The 22,748-nt window shown below is 50.0% G+C and overlaps 1 protein-coding gene across 3 annotated transcripts, besides 2 other annotated features; it reads right to left on the bottom strand.

Annotated features, from left to right (window-relative positions):
• Positions 2,814-3,331: an enhancer, noted in NCBI's record as "OCT4-NANOG hESC enhancer chr17:7960995-7961512 (GRCh37/hg19 assembly coordinates)". NCBI's record gives its function as "activates a minimal SCP1, AML or CMV promoter by ChIP-STARR-seq in primed H9 embryonic stem cells {active_cell/tissue: H9 hESC(primed)}" and the evidence as "EXISTENCE:reporter gene assay evidence [ECO:0000049][PMID:30033119]".
• Positions 3,261-3,330: an enhancer, noted in NCBI's record as "active region_11659". NCBI's record gives its function as "activates an Ori minimal core promoter by ATAC-STARR-seq in GM12878 lymphoblastoid cells {active_cell/tissue: GM12878}" and the evidence as "EXISTENCE:reporter gene assay evidence [ECO:0000049][PMID:35858748]".
• On the bottom strand, positions 11,874-21,949 carry ALOX15B (arachidonate 15-lipoxygenase type B). Of its 3 annotated transcripts, NM_001141.3 has the most exons (14): positions 21,706-21,949; positions 21,403-21,622; positions 21,025-21,106; positions 18,517-18,639; positions 18,124-18,227; positions 16,007-16,179; positions 15,624-15,770; positions 15,322-15,525; positions 14,254-14,340; positions 13,932-14,101; positions 13,629-13,750; positions 13,344-13,444; positions 13,093-13,263; positions 11,874-12,622 (listed from the first exon to the last, which is right to left on the bottom strand). In NM_001141.3, the coding sequence occupies exons 1-14, from the start codon at positions 21,850-21,852 to the stop codon at positions 12,443-12,445; spliced, it is 2,031 nt and encodes a 676-aa protein (NP_001132.2). In that variant the 5' UTR covers positions 21,853-21,949; the 3' UTR covers positions 11,874-12,442. The 3 variants fall into 3 exon arrangements, with proteins under 3 accessions (NP_001132.2, NP_001034219.1, NP_001034220.1); NM_001039130.2 differs by lacking the exon at positions 14,254-14,340; NM_001039131.2 differs by lacking the exons at positions 13,629-13,750; positions 14,254-14,340 and having other exon boundaries at positions 13,945-14,101.

The following is a 22,748-nucleotide window of genomic DNA, read 5'->3' as shown; positions in this document are numbered from 1 at the left end:
TTTAGACATTGCTTAGGTGGGAATTCCTAAAGTAGGTCTTATCCAATTAACGTCCCCTAATAATTTTTGGAAATCATTTAAGGTTTTTAAGGACTCTTTACGAATTTCCTCCTTTTGAGGCTTTACTGTTTTCTCCTGTACCCTCATTCCCAGGTAATGATAGGGTGTAGTATGGATTTTATCTGGTGCTATAGCGAGACCTGTAAGTCCCACCACTTCTTGTAGCCTAGCAAAACACTCAATCCGTCTGTCCCTGCTTGCAGCAGCACATAAAATGTCATCAACATAATGAATAATATAGCAATCAGGAAACTGATCCCTGACAAGCTGAATAACCTTTCCAACAAAAGTTTGACTATTTAACATTCCTTGGGGTACAACTTTCCATCGATATATAGTAGCTGGTTCCTTGTTATTCATGGCAGGTATTGTAAATGCAAATTTCTCAAAATCCTGAGGAGCCAAAGGAATAGTAAAAAACACAATCTTTTAGATCAATTATTACCATCGGCCATTCTTTTGGGATCATGGCCGGAGATGGCAACCCTGGTTGGAGAGCTCCCATCGGTTGAATGGCTGCGTTAACCGCTCATAAGTCGGTCAATATGCGCCATCTAGCGAATTTTTTCTGAATTACAAAAACTGGGGCGTTCCATGGTGAAAAAGATGGTTCAATATGTCCTTTGTCTAATTGTTCTTTTGCCAATGAATGTAATGCCTCCAGTTTTTGTTGAGGAAGCGGCCACTGATCAACCCAAACAGGTTTTGGAGTTTTCCGTTTTAATGCAATGGGCTTTGGAGGCTCAACAGTGGCCGCACCTAAGAAGGATATCCAATTCCTCTTCGGTCAAATTTAACTGAGACCTCAATCGGCTGGGTTATTCCGTCCTCATTTTTTTCCTAATCCTTTCCCAGGAATATATCCCATTTTGGTCATCATTCTTTGGCTCTCAGGACTGTAAATTGCAGGGGGAATGGTGATTTCTGTACCCCATTGCTGTAACAAATCTCTCCCCTACAAATTAATGGGAATGAAAGTAATCATAGGTTGGATGGTGACTTCCTGCCCATCTGGTCTTAAACGATGTAAAATTGTAGCACTTTGATAGACTTCAGATGCTGTGCCTACTCCAATCAAGCCCATAGAAGCCTTTTGTCGGGGCCACGCTTTTGGCCACTGATTTAGAGCTATAATTGAAATATTAGCACCTGTGTCTACCAGTCCTTCAAACTGTTTTCCCTGAATCATTGTGCACACAGGTCTGTTTTTAGAAGCTTGATTTACTCAATAGGCTGCTTTTCCTTCACTGTCAGTACTGCCAAAACCACTTTCTCTTTTTACTGTACTTTTTTCTACTATTACATAAGGTAATAACAACAGCTGAGCAATTCTATCTCCTGGGTTTGCACTCCAAGGAATACTGGAACTAATAACCAATTGAATTTCTCCCACAAAATCTGAATCAATCAGCCCAGTATGAATCTGAACTCCTTTTAAGTTTAGACTAGATGTTCCTAAAACAAGTCCAACTGTCCATCAGGTAAAGGGCCAAATACTCCAGTGGGGACTTTTTGAGGGGATTTCCCTGGAAGCAGAGAGATAGCTTTTGGGAAACATAAATCTAAGCCTGTACTCCCTGCTGTAGCTGGCGCCAATTGTGTTACTGTGGTGGTTGGGCAAGAGACAATGATGGTGGTTGGACTAGAGGCAATGACCGACTGAGGGACCAACTGCTGGAGTGAGAATGCCCCCGTTTGGAGCGGGGCCTGAGGCTGGCCCCTCTTCCTGTTTCCCGACTGCGGTTGTAACGGTTGGCCATTTTTGTCAAATTTGAAGTGACACTGATTAGCCCAATGTTTACCCTTCTGGCACCTGGGACATAAGCCAGGTGGTTCTTTTATTTGATTATATCTTGCCTGTTTGTTCGATTTGTTCTTACGTTCCTTTTTTGTGTGTCCAAATTGCCCACAATTGTAACAATTGCCTGAAAAGTTTTTAATTGGACCTCCCACTTTTAACTCTGTCGTGGCTTGAACCATTATCATAGCCTTATGCATGATTCCACCAACTCCATTACATGCCCTGATATATTCATTAATCACATCAACTCCCACCGGAACCTTTCCTTTCACTGGGTGAATAGCTGACTGGCATTCAGGGTTAGTATTCTCACAAGCCAATAATTCTACAATCACCTTCCTGGCACTTTCTTTCTTTCTTTCTTTTTTTTTTTTTTTTTTTGAGGCGGAGTTTCGCTCTTGTTACCCAGGCTGGAGTGCAGTGGCGTGATCTCGGCTCACCGCAACCTCCGCCTCCTGGGTTCAAGCAATTCTCCTGCCTCAGCCTCCTGAGTAGCTGGGATTACAGACATGTGCCATCACGCCCGGCTAATTTTTATATTTTTAGTAGAGACGGGGTTTCTCCATGTTGGTCAGGCTGGTCTCCAACTCCCGACCTCAGGTGATCCGCCCACCTCGGCCTCCCAAAGTGCTGGGATTACAGGCATGAGCCACCGCACCCGGCCTTCCTGGCACTTTCATCAGTGAGAGCCTTCTGTGCTGCGTCTTGAAGGCGAGCAATGAAATCAGGATATGGTTCCTTTGAGCCTTGTCTAATAGAATTAAAAGACTGATAAGTAGTTCCCAGATCCTGAATTTTCTCCCATGCCCTCAAACAGCAATTGCGAATTTGTTCAATGGCATCATCTCGAAGTCCTGATGGTTGTTTACAGTTCCCCATTGACCCCCTATTCCTAGAAGTTGTTCAAATGTAATGGCAATAGCAGGATTAGCAGCACGGTTTTTTCGATCTTGATTTTGAGCCTCGTCGGTCCACCAAGTCTTAAACTGAAGAAATTGGGAGGGCGAAAGTGTAACTTTCGTTAAAATCTCCCAATCACACGGAGTCAATAGCTTATTCTGAGCCACAGATTGCAATAGCGATCGGATGAAAGGCGAATTGGGACCATACTGACCAACAGCTGCTTTAAGATCTTTGAGCAGCTTAAAAGAAAATGGTTCCCATACCGCTTGATGGGCTCCACCTTGCTGTCGTGGGGGTTGCAAAACTACTGCAAACTGCCAGGCATCAAGATCTCCGGCTAATCTAGCCTGCCGAATAGTAAACTGTAATGGCGATTCATTAACATTAGATGGCAGTGCAGCCTTATGTTGTACTGGTGCTACACCATGCGCTCGTGGTTCCTGAGGCCACAATTCATTCATTCGTGAAACAGGGCAAATTTGAGATTCAGACCTCCAAGGCTCCAAGCTACATTGCTTTATTGGAGGCGGCCACTCCGGATGATCCCAATGAGGAGCCGACTGCTCCTCAAGGCCCTTCTTTGTTTTAAACATCTTGGCATATATGGCTTCTCTATTTTAGGAGCAGCTGAAGGTCCCACGTGCTCCTCAAAAGAAATTAACTCATCTCCAGGTTTGTCTGTATTTTCCTCAAAATCTTCTTCACTATCCTCTCCTCCTTCAGCAGCATCACCACCTTCCTCTGCAGAAATTCTTTCTGCTGGAGGATAAGCCTCATTTTCCGATTGAAACGGTTCCGAGGCTGCTTTAACTATAGCCCAGTTTGACCAGGCTGTTAGGGGGATAAATTTTCCTTCCTTACAAACTTGTTTTAAGGCAATTCCCACCTGTTCCCAATCTTTGAAGTCCATGGTACCATGTTCAGGAAACCAAGGACGATATTGCTCTACTGTTGGAAACAGAGTAATCAAATTTTCTGTGCTAGCCTTAATTCCTGCCCTCTTTAAGAGGAGCTTAATAAAATGTAAATATGCAGAATGTTTACTTTTGGATTGTCCCATGGTGTCCCTGGAATGCTCCGAGTGCACAAGCTTACCGCAAGGCCGACCACACGTTCTCGGGAGTTCCTGGACAGACCGTTCTTCACAACGACCACGCTCAGGTGTAACTTCACCTGGGTTCAAGGAGACCGTGTTGGGTGCCAAAGATGTAGGGGAACCTGCCTGATACACCACCCGCAGGCTCTCCCCTTCCCGGTGGAGACGAGGGAATGAGAAAAGAAATAAAGACAAAGACACAAAGTTTAAGAGTTAACAAAAGTGGGTCCAAGGATCCATCGCAACGTGGAGATTGCAAAGGCCAGGAGCTCTGGGTTCCACTGATATTTATTGAGTACAGTTCCTTTGATCCTATAGGCTGAGGGTGGGCTGATGGTGAGGTGATCATTGGGTGAGCATAGGGAGAGGTGGCGGAGCCTGCTGTGTCGGTCATTAGCCAGTTAATACTATTTACTGTTCCACTACGTAAGCTAATACTCTATGTTTAACTTACAGATAATCATCAGAGTCCAACTAAGCGGCTAATAGAACAGAACAGGACGTGAAAGCAAACAGCCCTTCAAACCCACAGGCCTGTACATCAAAGGAGTGGTCAACGCCTGAGCACCGTCAGCAGAGCAGCTGCTTTGCCTCTGGGAACATGCGGGAGATAGGAGGCTTCCTCCTTAACCCTACTGCAGAGGACTTCTCCTCTTTTACCAGCAGCCTCCTGCAGTACCCTCCCGGGTAATGGAGCAGGGGTCGCTTCCCTTCCCATGAGACCTTTGTTCAGGCACTCAAGTGGAAGGTTGAGCAATAAGCCAACTTTCTTGCTCAGAGGCTCCGCAGACTTCCTGTGGTTGTTTGTTCCACTCTGTGGTCAGTCAAGCAAGCTCACCGCCTGATTCTCTTATTGTTGTACTAAGCACAAGCTATTATACTTATGATTCATAATCATATTAGTAAAGCACTATTCTAAAGCATATACTATTAATCTTTAAATGGGCACAGTGTAGGCTGGTCCTCAACCACCTGGGCCCACATCCAAGCCCCCTATTTCAACCCACACATCCCTCTCCATTTCTGCCACTTTTGTCTCTGTCCCAGGCTTCAGCACCTTCTTAGGTCAGTGGGGGATGCGGGTGGGGACAGAAGAGTCTGTTTCTCATTCCCTGGGGTAGTGAGCAAAGGCACCCCTGGGATGTCCAACATGGATGGGGGTGCGGTGAGGGGAAGGCGGGCACAAAGATAAAGAGGAGGCTGGAAGAGGACCTGGCAGAGAGAAGAAGGGATTGGGGTTCTAGGCACTGTTCTGGGGTGGCACAAGCAGCTCTCCCTCCACCCTGGGAGGGATTTCAAACAAATTAAAAACATGGTTCATACAAATTAGAATGTTCACAAGTCAAATATTTTATTCGACTCAGCCAGATGGTCATGCTGGTTTCAAGAACAATTGAGGAGCCGGGCACTTACAGGCAATTTAATAAAGGAATGTTAGGACACGATTGTTGGGTTAGATATGAAACTAGTCAACATTCTACAGAGCAATGAACTATAATCTCCAGTTTATTTGCTTTTAAAAAAAGGAACAAATCATTTACATGAACTTCACATAAATCGAGGCCTTTATTAATAACACACAGAAAAGTCAAACAGTGGTATGCCGTGCTAGAAAATAAAGCATCCCTCCCAGCACTTTGGGAGGCCGAGGTGGGAGGATCACTTGAGGTCAGGAGTTCGAGATCAGCCTGGTCAATATGGCGAAACCCCGTCTCCACTAAAAATACAAAAATTAGCCGGGTGTGGTGGTGGGTGCCTGTAATCCCAGCTATTTGGAAGGCTGAGGCAGGAGAATCTCTTGAACCCGGGACGCGGAGGTTGCAGTGAGCTGAGATGGCACCATTGCACTCCAGTCTGGGTGACACAGTGAGACTCTGTCTCAAAAACCAGAAACCACCCCCCCAAAAAAAAGAAAGAAGGAAAACCAAAAATTAAAGAAAAGAAAACATCTTTAAAAGGACAGGCAGTTGTCCTCTTGATTCTATTCATCAGTTTTGGATAATTTTTCTTAACAAGGCTGTTCCCTGTGAGTACCTCAAGCAATCAAATAGATCTCCTTTTCAGGGTTTCACCTCTCTCTCTTTCTCTCTCTCTCTCTCTCTTAGTTTAAGGCTCCCACTTCTTTACTCCTCAATGTGGCCCTGCTGTACAATCCCACTCTCCTTCTCAAGCAACAGCTAGGTGTGCATCCTTCTTTCCAGATCTTTCCTTGCCATTTCTATTGATTTACATACTTCACTTAAAAAAAAAACACACAAGGGGGCCCAGCGCGGTGGCTCACGCCTGTAGTCCCAGCACTTTGGGAGGCCGAGGCGGGCGGATCATGAGGTCAGGAGATCGAGACCATCCTGGCTAACACGGTGAAACCCTGTCTCTACTCAAAATAAAAAAGATTAGCCAGGCATGGTGGCGGGCGCCTGTAGTCCAAGCTACTAGGGAGGCTGAGGCAGGAGAATGGCATGAACCCGGGAGGCGGAGGTTGCAGTGAGTTGAGATCATGCCACATGGTGGCATGTCTCGCTGGGTGACAGAGCAAGACTCCGTCTCAAAAAACAAAAAACAAAAGGGATCATGTGCTTCTCATGGTGTGACTTGTTTTCTACCTATATTATATAACACTTCATCATTAATGCATTCAAGTGCCAACTTGACTGCATTGAGGAATACCGAGAGAACTGGTAAAGCATTATTTCTGGTTGTGTCTGTGAGGGTGTTTCCAGGGGAGATTGCTGTGAGTCAGTGGGCTGAGTGGGAAACATCCACCCTCAATGTGGCAGGCATCATCCAATCATTGTGGGTCCTGGTGGAACGAAAAAAGGGAGAAAAGGATTTCCTCCCTTTCTCTCTGTCCTGGAGCTGGGACACTCTCCTCCTCCTGCTCTTGGTGATCAGAACCCTGGCTCTCTGGCTTTGGGACTCCAGGACCCATACCAGTGGTCCTCTGACCAGTGGAAGTATTCTCAGGCCTTTGGTCTTGGACTGAGAATTACACCATTGGCATCCGTGGTTCCAAAGCCTTCAGACTTGGACTGAGCCATGCTGCTACTGGCATCCCAGGGTCTCCAGCTTGCAGACAGCCTGTAGTGGGAACGGCCTGTAGTGGGACTTCTCCGCCTCCATAATCACGTGAGCCAATTCCCCTAATTTCTCCTTATATATCTGTCTATAGTCATGCACCACATAATGACATTTTGATCAATGATGGACCACATGTACAATGGTGGTCCCATAAAATTATAATGAAGCTGAAAAAGTCCTAATGCCTAGTGACATCATAGCTGTCATGATGTCATAGCACAATGCATTACTCACATGTTCGCGGTGATGCTGGTCTAAGTAAAATTTTGTGCTGCCAGTCACATAAAAGTGTACAGTGACGGCCTAGGCCCTCACATTCCCTCACCATGCACTCACTGACACACCCACAGCGACTTCCGGTCCCGCAGCTCCATTCATTACACCATCGGCATCCCTGGTTCCAAGGCCTTCAGTAAATGCCTTACTTAGGTGTACCACTTTTTGCCTTTAGCAATATATTTTAATTGTACCTTTTCAATGTGTAGATATTATCATTGTGTTACAACTGCTTATAGTATTCGGCATGGTAACGTGTTGCACAGGTTTGCAGCCTGGGAGCGACAGGCTAGACCATATAGCCTAGGTGTGTGGTACGCGCTACCATTTAAAATTGTGTTAGCAGACTCCGCGGTGTTCACACAATGATGAAATCACCTAACACATTTCTCAGAACATATCCCCATCGTTAAGTAATGCATGGCTATATGTCTATTATCTATTTACTATCTATCTTCTATCTATCTATCTATCTTCTATCTATTTATCTATCTTCTCTCTACTATCTATCATCTATCTACTATCATCTATCTATCTTCTACTATCTATCTACTGTCTTCTATCTATCTACCTATCTTCTATCTACTATATTCTATCTATTTATCTATCGATCTTCTATCTACTCTCTATCTATCATCTATCTATCGATCTATCTACTATCATCTATCCATCTTCTATTATCTACTGTCTATCTACTATCTACTGTCTTCTATCTATCTATCTTCTATCTACTGTCTGTCATCTATCCATCTATCTACTATCATCTATCTATCTTCTATCTACTATCTGTCTACTATCTATCTACTATCATCTATCTCCTATCTACTATCTATCTATCTTCTACTATCTATCTATCTTCTATCTACTATCTGTCTACTATCTGTCTACTATCTATCTACTATCTATCATCTATCTTCTATCTACTATCTATCTATCTTCTACTATCTATCTTCTATCTACTATCTGTCTACTATCTGTCTACTATCTACTATCTATCATCTATCTATCTTCTATCTACTATCTACTATCTATCTTCTATCTATCTACTATCTATCTATCTATCTATCTATCTATCTATCTATCTATCTGTCATCATCTATCTATCTACTATCTATCTTCTATCTATTTACCATCCATCATAGCCCAAGGAGGCCACCATTCTGGAGCATTAACTGGATATCCCTAGAGGTGAATGTTCTCTGTAGAGAATGTTCTCTGTAGAGGTGAAGTTCTCTGTAGAAGAGAAGAACCTTCTCTTCTCAAGGCGGGGAGGCCAGCTGAGAGCTCTAGGGCTAGGGTTGTGTGGTGTGTGTGGCGGGGGGACCTCACAGGCTCACAAGCTCACAGGCCCTGGGCAGAGGAGGTGGTGGTGGCTTCTCCAAGAGTGGTTAGGGACTGACTGCTTGGATTTTCACGGCTATGCTGCCTTGGACGCTGCAGTTTCTCCTGGAAATGATAGTTGATCCCAAAAGATATATACTGAAACAAACACCAGTTTATTGACTGGGGTGCAACTGCCCTCCAACTCACCAGTACATCCACGCATGCAACCATCCAATCACTTTCCCTTCATCCAACATTAAACAAACATTTGTTGGGTATCACTCTGTGTCAATGCAGCGCTGGGCATGAGGCCTGGCAAGTTGAGTGAGACCCAGCTCCTGCATTCAAGAAGCTCACAGTCTGGTTGGGGAGACACAGGTAAGCGATGGGCACCACAGGGTTTTAGGAATTATTTGTGCAGGAATTAATTCCTTCATTCAGCACGTACTTACCAAGCACCTGCAGTGTGCCGGCGCTGTGATGGGCAGTTGTGAACCTTGTCCTCCTGAACTGGAAGTCCAGCAATAGAGGTCAGGATGGCTAGGTCAGCTGGAAATGCCTCCGAGGGATAGGCAATGGGGCAATAGAAGGATGAAGGAGGCACACCAGCTCGTAACTGTCCCATCTTGGAAAGGACACACATCACTCCTCTGCGAATTAGTGTTCTGGCCAGAATTAGTCACATGGCCTCAATCTAACTTTAAGGCAGGCTGGGAAATGTTGGGAAGTACATGAGGTATTGGGTGAACATAAACTCTCTCTGTTCCAGGAACCAGTGGTCTCTGCTGCTCCGTGTTACGTCAAACAGCCTCTCTCACGGAACTGAATATGGAGGCAAATAACTCAAGGATGAAAAATGGTAGGCGCTTCATTATTCCCATGGCAGTGCCTGAGGACAGCATCCATCAGTTCTTGTCCCTTGTCCCCCAGATGCCTGGAGCTTCCTGGGTTTCAGTTTCTTTCCTGAAACTGCATGATTAACTTTTTTTTTTTTTTTTTTTGAGATGGGGTCTCACTCTGTTGCCGAGGCTGGAGTGCAGTGGTGCAATCTCGGCTCACTGCAACCTCTGCCTCCCGGGTTCAAGTGATTCTCCTGCCTCGGCCTCCCAAGTAGCTGGGATTACAGGCGCCTGCCACCATGCCCAGCTAATTTTTGTAGTTTTAGTAGAGACGGGGTTTCACCATGTTGGTAAGGCTGGTCTTGAACTCCTGACTTCAGGTAATGCACCCGCCTCGGCCTCCCAAAGTGCTGGGATTATGGGTGTGGGCCACCGCGCCCGGCCTTTTTTTTTTTTGAGACAAGATCTCGCTCTGTTGCCCAGTCTGGATTACTAGAATGCAGTGGTGTGATCACTGCAACCTCTTCCTCCGTGGATCAAGCAGTCCTCCCTCCTCAGCCTCCCGAATAGCCAGGGCTATAGACGTGAGCGACCACGCTCTGCTACTTTTTAATTTTTTTTGAAGAGATGGGGTCTCACTATACTGCCCAAGCTGTCTTGAAGTCCTGGGCTCAAATAATCCTCCTGCCTTGGACTTCCAGTGCTGGGATCACAGGCTTGAGTCCCTGCGCCTGGCCTGCATAGTCAGCTCTTTAACTTCTCAAGGAACTCCATTTCTTTTCCATTAACTCCTTTATTGCTTAAGTTAGCAGGAATTGATGGAAAGAAGTTTGACAGATACATATATCTCTAAATCACTTTCGGTATACTCACTCTCAACGAGGAATGAGCATGTCAAATGCCACTTGCCAGTCAGCCCTACCCTTTCTGAGGCACTGTTCTGTTTTTTTCCAATGGTAATGTTTATGCAGTTATAGTATATAAATTGCATTTTTGTCCACATTGTTTTATAAAAATCAGTGAAACTGAAAAACAAAAGCACTCATGCCTGCAATGTGTAGTAGTGATGGAAATCATTAGATGAATTGTAAAGGATGCATTTTGTTTTTACACCAAAAAAGCAAAGGCAATTTTAAAATTTGGAAAGTGCTGGTCAAGTATTTTGCAGAATGTCCCTCAATCTGGGTTTGTCTGTATTTTTCTCATCACTAGACTGTAGTTATGAGTTTCTAGAAGAAACCACAGAGATGAGGTGCTCTTCTTACAACATTAGAGCAAAGCAACATGGTATCAGCAAGTTCACCTGGATTTTTTTTTTTTGTTTTGACACAGAGTCTCTCCCTGTCACTCAGGCTGGAATACAGCAGCATGATCTCGGCTCACTGCAACCTCTGCCTCCTGGGTTCAAGCGATTCTCCTGCCGCAGCCTCCTAAATAGCTGGGATTACAGGCGCCTGCTACCAAGCCCGGCTAGTTTTTGTACTTTTAGTAGAGATGGGGTTTTGCCATGTTGGCCAGGCTGGTCTTTAACACCTGGCCTCAAGTTATTCGCCCGCCTCGGCCTCCCAAAGTGCTGGGATTACAGGTGTGAGCCACCACGCCTGAACTCACCTGGATTATTTGATTAAGGTGATGTCTACCAGGTGTCGCCACGGGAGTTTTTTTTTTTTTTTTAAAGGACACTTTTTTACCTTAATGGATGCTCACCGACTATGAGCCAGAAAAAAAAGAAAAACAGAATGAAAGAATGTGTATGAAATGTAAATCCATCAGTGATGATGAAATCTAGCAGCAAAGTATGATTAGAGATATGACAATGTTTTCTGATTCTCTGGAAACGGAACCTGCCTTATAACGTACAAGTCTTTAACTTTAGGGGATGTTTTTAAGAAAGTATACATAGGCACTGCCTGTGCCGACTGGGTGTTCTCATTCTGCCTGGCTCCCAGTGACCCTTTTTCAGTGTTTTGTTCACTTTAAAGCTGAGACAGTAGGTCACAATCAACCTCTTGGGTATTTTTTGTTTTCATTTTTGTTTTTCTGAGACGGAGTCTCACTCTGTCACCCAGGCTGGAGTGCGGTGGCATGATCTGGGCTCACTGCAACCTCTGCCTCCCAGGTTCAAGTGATTCTCCTATCTCAGCCTTCCAAGTTGCTGGGATTATAGATGTGTGCCACCACGCCTAGCTATTTTTTGTATTTTGGGTGGAGACCGGGTTTCACCACGTTGGCCAGGCTGGTCTTGAACTCCTGACCTCAGGTGATCCCTCTACCTTGACCTTCCAAGGTGCTGGGATTATAGGTGTGAGCCACCACGCCCGGCCTTGTTTTTTTTTTTTTTTTTTTTTAATAGAAACGGGGTCTTGCTCGGTTACCTGGGCTGGAGTGCCGTGGCACAATCATAGCTCACTGCAGCCTCAAACTCCTGGGCTCAAGCAGTCCTCCCACCTCAGCCTCTCGAGTAGTTAGGACCACAGCCACATACCACCAGGCCCAATTTGTTTTTTAATTTTTATTTTTTGGTAGAGGTGGAGTCTCGCTATGTCGTCCAGGCTGGCCTTGAACTTCTGACCTCAAATGATTTTCCCGCCTCCATCTCCCAAAGTGCTGGGATTATGGGCATGAGCCACTGCGCCCAGTCTCTTTGGCAGCCACTTCTTGGTGGCTGTCCTTGAGTTGGGTGACCATAAGGTCCAATCAGTGGATGCTAGTGGGCCCTGGGGCGGGATTATGTGCTTCCCCCCACGGCTGTAAAACGCAAAACAAAACCAACTAGCAAAACCCTCAAGGTGGGCTCTGCGGGCACTTTGAGGCTTGGAGCCTCCAAAAGACTCAGTGGTTCTGTCCTGAGACTCTGTTCTTGGTAGATTTTCTGCTTTCTCTGTTTTGATTTTGTTTCTGTTTTTGTGTGTGTGTATGGTGGTGGGGGTGAGTTACAGAGTCTGGTTGTCCCAGGAGAGGCACATGGGGGCCTGTTTTTTCTGAGGAGTCCTTTTCTCTGGGTGCCAGTTATCCTAGAGCGATGTGGTCAAAGGGATGTCATCTGGGCCTGTGTTCCCCTGGGATTTAGATGGAGACGCTGTTCTCGATGAGGGGAGGGTCTAGGTAGGTGTAGGGCAGCACCAGGCCCTGGTTCCGCTCCTGGATGCCCCTCGAGATCTGGGCCAGGCGGCTCTGGAAGGTGGCGATGCTCCGCCGAGGGGCCTCCTCTGTGAAGTGCTCATCCGGATAGGTGCCCAGGGGCCTCTGAGGATCCACCACAAGGTTGGGTGAGGCGGCTGCTGAGGTCCTGCATCCCAGACTCCTGGTCCCCACTATCTGAGCAGCTGCAACTTGCCTTAGCCAGCTCTGGCCCTAGCCCCCAAGTGTGGGACCTGAAGTAGCCCTCGATGGGGCCTGATCCATGTCCCTCCTCTTAAACAGATATCCATGTAAAGCTTATCTGCAGGAAGCTTTCGGGGAATGAAAGCTCAATTCGGAATTTCCAAGAAGCATAATTACACGTTCCCCTTGCTACTGAGAGTGGCTCCGCATCATCGCATTTGGCCATTTGACCTTCACTGTGAAATGTCCAAGGCTCATGTGTCCCACTGGAGGGTCAGTGGGGCAAAGGGACCCGCTACCTGATGGCAGGGTTGGGTCTGGGCCAGCAGGGTAAACATCACACCCTCTCTTACCCCAATTTGGCCCAGCCTGGCCCCCAGCCCCACACTCACTTGGTCTCCAGGCTCCTTGCTCAGCAACCAGAGAGCAAGGATGACATCACATGTGGCATTGACAGGTGGGAGGGTGGCTATGAAGCCCTCGCATGTTGCCAGGCCTTTGGAGGTGGGTGGTGGCAGCTGCATGCTGGGTGGCAGGTTGGGCATCCAAGCACAGGAGTCAAACTGAAGGCCGAGAGGGCAGAATGAGGCTGAGGAGCTGGGTCACCTCCAGCCTGCCACCTCGGGCGCTGGCCTTTCCTCACCTGCCCTGCACTGACAGCCGCATGCTTGGCGGAGCAGGTGAATATCACCATGGTGACATACTGCACCAGGGCTTCCCGGGTCTCCAGTGAGGAGGGTATACCTGCAAGGAGAGCTGGGCTGGGATGGGGCTTCCAGGGACCTGAGGACCCTGCTGCGGAGGCTTGAGGGTGAGCCTTGAGGGTGGGGGACACGGGGACGGGGCCACTCAAATGCGTGCTCTGCAGGGGGTGGGGGACACGGGGATGGGCTCACTCAAATGCGCCTGAGGGCTGAGGTCCCTGTACCTGAGCTCTCCTGGTTTAGGAAGCCCTTGGAGAAGATCTCTCTGACCCAGGCCTGGAGCTCTCTGTCATCTTGGACAGACTCATCACTTGGGTAGTAGATACCGATGATTTCAGAGACAAAGCTGCAATGCATCCAGGTTCAGGTCCAGCCTCCAACCCCGACCCGCTCTGAGGAATGCCTCTGCTTAGCATCATGAATGTCTGGCCCTCCTCCTCAACGTGAGCCTCCCTGGGGCCTCAGTCTCCTTTCCTGTCTTCCCACGTCCCCGACCAGCCCTCGGCTCTCCAGGGACGGCCCCTCACCGTTCCACTGCACCCCAGATCTGCATCCCATCATCACGGTAGTAGTAGCCTGGGATGTCTTCAACTCCTCGGGTCCGGATATCCTCAGGCAGACACAGGAGAGAATAGTTCAGCTGCTTCATGTTCCTCTGTATCAACTCAGAGAAGCCTTCAATGCCGATGCCTGTGGACTGAGAGACAGGACTCTTGGGTCCTACAGACCTTGCTCCAGAAGCAGGAGGTAGCACTGGTGTCGGGGAGATGGGCCACTCCTACCCCAGGACCTCAAATTCGTCACATTGAAGGAGTGGCCTGCCTACTCCCTCCCCAACACAGCTCTCACCCTGTCCACCACCTGCCCTGGCACGATAAGCAGCTCCCGGGCGAGTGTGTTGATGTGCAGGGTGTATCGGGTGTGCGGGATCAGCAGCTGCATGGCAGGAAAATGGCAGAGCTAGGGGAGGCCTGGGTTGTTCTGGCCCCAGACCTTCCCCCACACAGGCACCAGCCCTGCAAGTCACTTGGAAAGAGGCAACAAGAATGAGAGGAGGCAGCCTGGGACAGGGGTCTGAGCCCTGGAGTTCCTGCTGGGCTCCACCAGCAGCTTGTTCTGGGAGCTCAGGCGTGCTCCTTCCTCTCCCTGAGCCTCAGGTTGTTTTGTCAAATGTGGGTGCTGATGTGGCTGAGCCCTGTGTCTTCCGGCTCTGGCATCCTGTGATTTCCTAGCCCCTAGGCAGGGAAGGCACTAGGAAAACCAGGGCCTGTGGGCCTGGCAATGTGGAGCCGTCCACCAGAGCCCACCTCTGAGCGCCAGGCCTCAGAAGCTGCAGATAGTCAGAAAGAACCAGCTAGTACAGAAGAGCACAGAGTAGGGCCCGCATCTGGGACCCAGGAGAAGTCTAGAAGGATCAGAGAATCTGAGCAGCGACTGTGGGTGGACCCTGGGAGGGGGCCATCCTGCCCTTCACAGAGGAGATGCCTCGAATCCATGCCGTCTGAAAGCTAGCAGGGTCTAGGAAACCTACAGAACCCACCCTAGAGCACGGGGGCCTCCCACCCAGCCCTCCCCTACCCCAGAAGTATCTGCAGAGAACTTGTTGGTCTCTCAAAGCCATGTTCAAACTTTGGCACCTGCCAGCCCCAGGTCCTTCCCCTTCCTAAGATTTGGGCTTCTATGACGGCTGTTGATGCTGCCTGATCTCCCTTCGAGAGCCTTTCTGGGGTGCTGCATTTATGTTACTTAGGGCCTGCTGGATAGCAGGCTTCCAGGGGAGTTGTGCCAGGAGATGCTGCTGAAGCGGACGGGGGCTCTGCATCCCAGCTTGCATGGATAGGGCCATGTGAGGAAAGGCTGCTTAGAAGAGGCACAGAGGCATGGGCACAGGCTGGGCCACCTTGTCAAGCCACTGACCTTGAAGAGAGGGTGGCAGTGGGGCAGCTGACGCAGGGTAGCCAGGGTGAAGACCTCAGGCAGCAGATGTGAGTGCAGCAGGTGCGTGAGGGCCTCATGGAAGGAGAACTCGGCATTGCGCACCCAGGTCTTGGCCAGCAACCAGTCCCACTTGTCATCAGTGGGCAGGAAGATGGGGCTGTTTGGGCCGGGGGTCTGGCTGAGCTGGGGGGAGGCAGGTGGGGAGAGAGGCAGCCATGAGTGTCTTCCAACCATTCTCCTGACTCTTCTTCACGCTGCCCTGCCCCTGCCTGACTGCATACCTGGATGGCGAGAGGCAGCAGCGGCCCGCAGCCTGGGCTCTGGTATAGCAGGGTCATTGGGGCCGCAGAGAACTGAGGCTTCCCATTAATGACATTGGTCTGGATGCCAGAGAGGATGCCGTGATCCACCAAGAACAGGGAGCCCTTCTGCAGAAGAAAGGAGATCTGGGGCTGCCACCTGGTTTTCTAAATGAAGGGGGTGCAGTTGTAGAAGGGAGAGGATTCAGGGCTGGGAGAGGAGTGTGTTTCGGGAGAGTGTGCTTGGCACGCAGCACGCGGTAGGTCCCTAACAAATGTGAGTGTGCCCCTCTGTCTCCAGTAGGGGACGGGTGTGAAGGCACTGAGATGGGACTGTGCAGAGCCAAGATCCCTGCACCCCTCACCTCTAGCTCAGCCTGCAAGCTGGTCCCAGGACCCAACACTGAGGCCACCATGGCATCAGTGACGGGGAAGTTCTTTGGGAGGTAGTGACAGCGGCGGATCAGGACAGGGTTGAGACCATTCAGGAACTGGGAGGCGAAGAAGGCGTCCTCCTGCCAGTGCTCAAATGCGTGCTCTGCAGGGGGTGGGGGACAGGGGAACGGGGTCACTCAAATGCGTGCTTTGCAGGGGGTGGGGGACACGGGGACGGGGTTACCCCAGCTCCCACAGGCCTCTGGCTAATCTTCACAGTGTGTCCTCAGAGTTACCTCCCCTGCCCCTTGTCTTCAGTCACTGCCTCTTCACCCAGCAGCAAATCATAGTCCCCAGCCCATGCATCCCAGTGTCTGCCTGACACTCCCCCTGAATAACTCACTAGCCTCAAATGCAACACGTTGCAGGCCAAATACAGATTATTCCTACAGCTCAGGTCAGTCCCATTGCCTGATATTTGGGAAGTGGCAGCTCCATCCCCCACCCAGTTGCCTACAGAGGAGACTCGGGACCCTTTCTTTTTCTTTCCTTTTTTTTTTTTTTTTTTGAGACAGGCTGTGTCGCTGTGTTGCCCAGGCTGGAGTCCAGTGGCGTGACCTCGGCTCACTGCAACCTCTGCCTCCTGGGTTCAACCGATCCTCCTGCCTCAGCCTCCCAAGTAGCTGGGATTACAGGCACACACCAGCATGCCTGGCTAATTTTTGTCTTTTTGGTAGAGACAGGGTTTCTCCATGTTGCTCAGACTGGTGTCGAACTCCTGGGCTCAAGTGATCTGTCTGCCTCAGCTTCCGCCTTTTCCTTTTTCCTTTTCTTTCTTTCCTTCCTTCCTTCCTTCCTTCCTTCCTTCCTTCCTTCCTTCCTTCCTCTCTCTCTCTCTCCCCCACTCCCCACCTCTTTCTCTCTTTACAGGGTCTGACTCTCTTGCCCGGGCTGGAATGCAGTGGGGCTATCTTGGCTCAGGGCAACCTCCATCTCCCAGGCTTAAGCAATTCTCAGGCCTCAGCCTCCTGAGTAGCTGGGACTACAGGCCCATGCCACCACACCTGGCTAAGTTTTGTATTTTTAGTAGAGACGGGATTTTGCCATGTTGGCCAGCCTGGTCTCAAACTCCTGACCTCATGCAATCTACCTACCTTGGCCTTCCAAAGTGCTGGGATTACAGGTGTGAGCCACTGCGCCCAGCCGGAGCCTGGGGACCTCTCTTGGCAGTACCCCTCACATATCAAATCCCATTGATTCTCCATCCTGAGTACCTCTCGGTCCACCCATCCTCTCCATTGCATTGCCACTGCCTTGCTGAGGCCACCATCCTCTGGTGACCACAGCCAGAGCCTCATAGCAGATTCTCATAGTCTCTTGCCCCCCAGCAGTGCACAGTGACCACATTATTCCCCTGCTGGCAACCAGTCAAGCACTGGGCTGAGGAAAGACGCAAGTCCTGCCATGGCCGACAAAGTCCTGTGCGACCCCCGTGCACCTTCCTGCTCCTTCTCTCGCTCTCCTTCTCTTGTTCATTACACTTTGACCACAGTGGTGTTTTCTTTCCTCCAAAGGTGGCTGATCCTTCTGTCTTCAGGGCCTTCACACTCACTGTTCCCCGAACTGCTCTCTGCCCCCACGGCCCATCCTTGGCACTGCTAAGGCCTACTGAACTTTGAGGTCTCAGCATAGTTCACCCCCTTGGGAGAGCTTTCCTGGGGCCCTCTCCAGGGTATGGCAGGTGCCCCCTTTACACCCTCACTGGATCCAATGAGCATGTTTCACAGTGAAATGAATTATTTGATTTTGAGTCTAATTAACACCAACTGGCCTGCTCAACTGTGAGCCCCGTGAAGAACCATGTAGCCCCTAACCCGGTGTCTGATATGTAGCAGCTCAACAAATGTCTGTTGTATTAGAAGGCGTTAGAAGGTCAGGGATCCCCTCCGTCCATATTCTCTTTTGTCTCTGTGGGGAAAAGTAAGGTCTAGCAAGGACCTGATCAGGGTTACATAGCAAATTGGTGCTTGGTTTTCTGAGACTCTGGGCAGCCACAGGAGCTGATGCCCCAGGAAAGAGGTCAGGATCCCTGGCCCAAGCTCCTCACCAGCTGCTGGGGTCCTCCGGAAGTTGAAGATCCTTTTCATCTCATTCAGACTCCTCCAGAGCCCCTTGCGGTCCAGCAACCCCTTGATTTTCATCTCTGCAAAACTGCCAGGGGATGTGAGGGGTGGGGAGTGGGGAGGAGGCCCTGGGAGACCCTTCCCTGTCAGCCAGCCTTATGCCTCTTGGGATCCTGAACCAGCCTCCGGGCCCAAGGTAGTCACTACCCCTAAGGTAGCTGTTGCTCTGTGGGATTGGTAGTGGGAAGGAGGCTGTTTCCTGGGCAGGACTATGTGACTCATATCACTGAGGGTGGGGGAACTGACTAGGGGAGGGCAGAAGGCAGAGGTCATAGGGCATCTGAGGCCCAGGGGCAGGGAAGGGTGGGCATCCTCACGCAGAGCCAGCCTGTAGATAAAAGTTGGCATTCTTGGCTGTGGAGTATTTGATATTGAGCTCCAAGTCTTCCACTGTCTTTTCATCCAGGCAGTGAGGCCAACCTGGGTTGTAAGCCTTCCACCTGGAGGGTAGAGAGGGAAGGTGGTCAGCAAGAGGCCTCAGGGAGACTCTTTGCTAGGGCAGATGGAGTGGCAGTCCCCTTGGGGGGCCTGGTCACAGCCAGACCCCTTCAGCCAAGAGGGCCCTCCTGGGAGCTGCCCTTCCATTCTACCCAAGGAGGCTGCAAGGGAGCTGCCATTTTCCCACAGTGAGATGGCTCCCCTGGTCAAGGGTGATTGGTCCAGAGTTGAGCACCTGACTAGAGCTGGGCCAATCAGAGTCCTTTCCAGGGAATTTGCCATTGGGGCTGAGCCAGAGAGGTGGTCTCTCTCTGGATATGTAGATTATAGCAGTAAACACAGACTGTTAGTTATGGCCATTTTCCACTGGGTGGACAATTCCTGCCTGTGTTTCTGTAAGTGCCTCTGTGTCTGGCCGACAAACTTTTTTTCTGCCTGCTAGTTGGAGTTAGCTTTTGTTCTTGCAACTATAGAAGTCCCGACTAACACAGACGCATCTTGTAGAGGCGAGACTATCCTGGGACAGGGGCTGCGCAGAAGGTTTCAGTTGCCTTTGGTAGGTGTCCCATAGAGAGGCACTTCAGCCTTCATAGTTTAGGGGGAGCCGCCCGAGGCATCTCTAAATTCTATTCTCAAACAAGCAACACAGCCAAAGACCTTCCAGGGAAATGGTAAATTCATGTATCTGCAAACTTGATGACCCCTAGCCAGTCATGCTCTCACTCATTCATTCTTTGATTCATTCAAAACTTGCTTTTGGGTTTGAGCTTTCAACTTCAAAGAAAAATTTGCAATTAAAGTACACTGCCACCAGGTGGTGGCCAAACCCTTCCTCTCAGACTTGAATCCCTCTCACATAGAGATCTTGGTTAAATGCAGATTCTGATTTCTAACAAGCTCCCAGGCAATGCTGTTGCAATGGATCTGAGACCTCACTGTACGTTTTATAAGAGCCTAGAGTGTTGGAACAGAGTGAACTGAAAGACAGGAACAACAGCAAGAGCACACAGTTGTGCAAGACTTAGCAGCTGACCACCTACATTCTTAACCATTTTCTCATTTGTTCCTCCTAACCCAAACGAGATTGGTATTCTTAGTTTCTTTTACAGAAGAAAATAAGAATTGAAGAGATGAAAAAATTGGTCTAAGATCTCACAGCTCGTTTTGGCAGGGCCTAGGCTGACTCTGGGTCTCCATGGACACAGTAGATCTCAATGTCTATTCCCTCTCTTGGGGCTGTTGCTGCCAGATTTGGTGCAATGGTTTCCTTAGGGGTGGAATTCATGACACATGGAGAATCACCAGGAACCAAATGAGCCTGTGGCTGCTCTGATCCCACAGACCAGGAGCAAAAGCCTGCAGCCCAGGCTTTAGATAGCAGATGAGTTGGCCGGATCAAGATCTTTTGAAAATCTGTTTCTGAATGCAGTTCCTGGCTTTGTGCCAAGGGAATCCTCACTAGCGGCCCCAACTCCTCTGTTATCTCCAAGTCCCAGTTTTCCCCTGTGATCTCCAATGCTGAGCCCAGAGCACAGAGAGAGCCCCCATCTCACCCCTTGCTAGCCCTGGAGGGTGAGTTTCCTGGGGCTTGAAGGGCGTGTTTCTGGCTCTACTCAGATTTCTGGGAGGACACAACAAGCCGATGCATGAAAAAGTCCCAGGGCAAGGAAGACACCAGCAAAGGTAAGGCATTTAAAGCAGTTTCTTTCTCTTTCTTTTCTTTCTTTCTTTCTTTCTTTCTTTCTTTCTTTCTTTCTTTCTTTCTTTCTCTCTCTTTCTTTCTCTCTTTCCTTCCTTTTCCTTCCTTCCTTTTTTTTTTTCTTTTTTTGAGATGGAGTTTTGCTCTGTCCCCCATGCTGGAGTGCAATGGCGTGATCGGCTCACTGCAACCTCCACCACCCGGGTTCAAGCTATTCTTCTGCCTCAGCCTCCCATGTAGCTGAGAATACAGGTGCCCGCCACCCTACCCAGCTGATTTTTGTATTTTTAGTAGAGATGGGGTTTCGCCCTGTTGGCCAGGCTGGTCTCGAACTCCCGACCTCCAGTGATCCGCCTCCCTCAGCCTCCCAAAGTGCTGAGATTACAGGTGTGAGCCACCACGGCACCTGGCCCTAGAGCAGTGTTTTTCAAACATCAGTGGCCACCAGAGTCATCTGGAAGGCTTGTCAAAACAAAAATTCCCACTCTACACCCTCAGTGTCGTAGTAGGTTGGAGGTGGCCTGAGAATTTGCATTTCTAATACGTTCCTGTAGACGCTGCTGATCCCAGGAGCAGCTTTGATAGGAGAGGTGGAGGCAGGGGCTTTTAATCTCTGTCATGACCAGGACACTCAAGCTGCCCCTCATCGTTTGGGCACACCCTCCCCCATCAGTAACCCCCTCCTCACTGGTACATCTCCTGCCGGGCCTGAAGCTCCTCCTGGCGCTGTTGCTGGAGCACAGGGTGGTGGTCTGCCCAGGACACCTTGGCTGTGGGAGAAGGGGAGTAGGTTGGGGTGGGGAGAGAAACTCACCATCACTACCACCAGCCACACAGTCTCCACGATTGCCACCCTCTACCAGGTCCCCTCCTCCCATAAGTACAGTTTCTCCTACACCAGGCTGCTACCTCCCGCTCCCCAAGGCTCCGCCATTCCCTCTCCTCTGCCCGCTACTCTGTGGCCACACCAGCTCACCTCTCCATTTCACCTGCCCTTCTCCCCAACCCCCAGTCCCCTACCCCTTCCTGTGCTCCCCCTGCAGCCCCAGCCCGGCCCGCCCCTCACCTGTACCCTCCTGCAGCACCAGGGTCCCCGCCCCCTCCAGCCACTGGTAGCAGGGGAAGAGGAGGTGGCCGCCCCGCGGCGGTGTCAGCTGGAACCAGCGGCAGAACCAGGCATCCGGGGCCAGGGGCCCCAGCAGGGGCAGCACTGGGGGCGCCTTGTGCACGCGCAGCAGCAGCACTCGGCCTACGTCCTCCGGGAGCGTCACCTGGAAGTCCTCCTCCTGAGGGGAGGTTAAGTATGCGTCAGGCCGGACCCTCCTGCTCGCCCCCTTCACCTCCACCCCATCCACTCCCACGCACTCACAGCGCCCGCAGTGAACTCCTTGCCGAGATTGTCCAGGGGCAGTGGGGGGCTCTCTCCCCGGGTCCCCACGATGCTGACAGACACTTTGTCCCATGTGCCAGCCCCGAAGGCTTCTCCGGTGGACACCCTGACCCTGAACTCGGCCATGCTGCCAGCCTAAGTCCAGCTCTCTACGGCGCACAGGGCTGCAGAGCGGGGCTCCCCCCTGGGACACGCCTGGTTATTGCCCCTGGTTATTGCCACTGACTCCAAGCCCAGTGGACTCCTCTAAAAAGCACGTCCGTTTCAGGGCGGGGAGGGGCGGGGCGGAGAGGCTGGAACACGCAACTAAAGTGGGGGTGGGCGGGGGATTGGCAGCGCTGGGAACAGGAGGGACTAAGAATACCCTGAGGTTTGGGGAACGGGGCCTTTCAGTGGTGGTGCCAGGCCAGAGAGCCTAGAGTTGGGACCCAGTTGGGGTGGGGGTAGATTTGTGCCCACCACGTCTGTTTGTTTTCCTTCTTAGCCTTAGAAGTCTATGCAAAAATATCACCCCATTTCCCACAACTCTTCTTGGGCCTGCGTTCATTATTTTTAAAATTTATTTATTTATTTATTTTTGAGACAGAGGCTTGCTCTGTCGCCAGGCTGGAGTGCAGCAGCATGATCTCGGCTCACTGGAACCTCCTCCTCCTGGGTTCAAGTGATTCTCCTACCTCAGCCTCCCCAGTAGCTGAGACAACAGGCGAGTGCCACCATGCCCAGCTAATTTTTGTATTTTAGTAGAGACGGGGTTCCACCATGTAGGCCAGGATGATCTTGATCTCTTGACCTCATGATCCGCCTGCCTCGGCCTCCCAAAGTGCTGGGATTACAGGCGTGAGCCACCGCGCCCAGCCTACATTCATTATTTTATTTCATTCAATAATTAATGTTCAGAACTACCTCTGTGCCAGGTGCTATGCTCACTGCTATTGATAAAGGCCCAGGCAAGACCTAGTGCTTGCTCTCATGGAGATTAAAAATCAAGTGTGAGGCCAGGCACAGTTGCTGGCCAACATGGT

This window comes from Homo sapiens, chromosome 17, assembly GCF_000001405.40.
Source record: "Homo sapiens chromosome 17, GRCh38.p14 Primary Assembly".
Lineage (NCBI taxonomy): Eukaryota > Metazoa > Chordata > Mammalia > Primates > Hominidae > Homo > Homo sapiens.
This window is presented reverse-complemented; position numbering and strand designations above follow the sequence as displayed.

Coding starts and splice junctions, on each gene's coding strand:
- ALOX15B (NM_001141.3), bottom strand. CDS start 21,852: ATGGCCGAGTTCAGGGTCAGGGTGTCCACCGGAGAAGCCTTCGGGGCT. Junction 18,640..21,024: donor GCCCGGCAGGAGATGTACCA/GTGAGGAGGGGG, acceptor TCTACCCTCCAG/GTGGAAGGCTTACAACCCAG. Junction 13,445..13,628: donor CCTAAACCAGGAGAGCTCAG/GTACAGGGACCT, acceptor CTCTCCTTGCAG/GTATACCCTCCTCACTGGAG.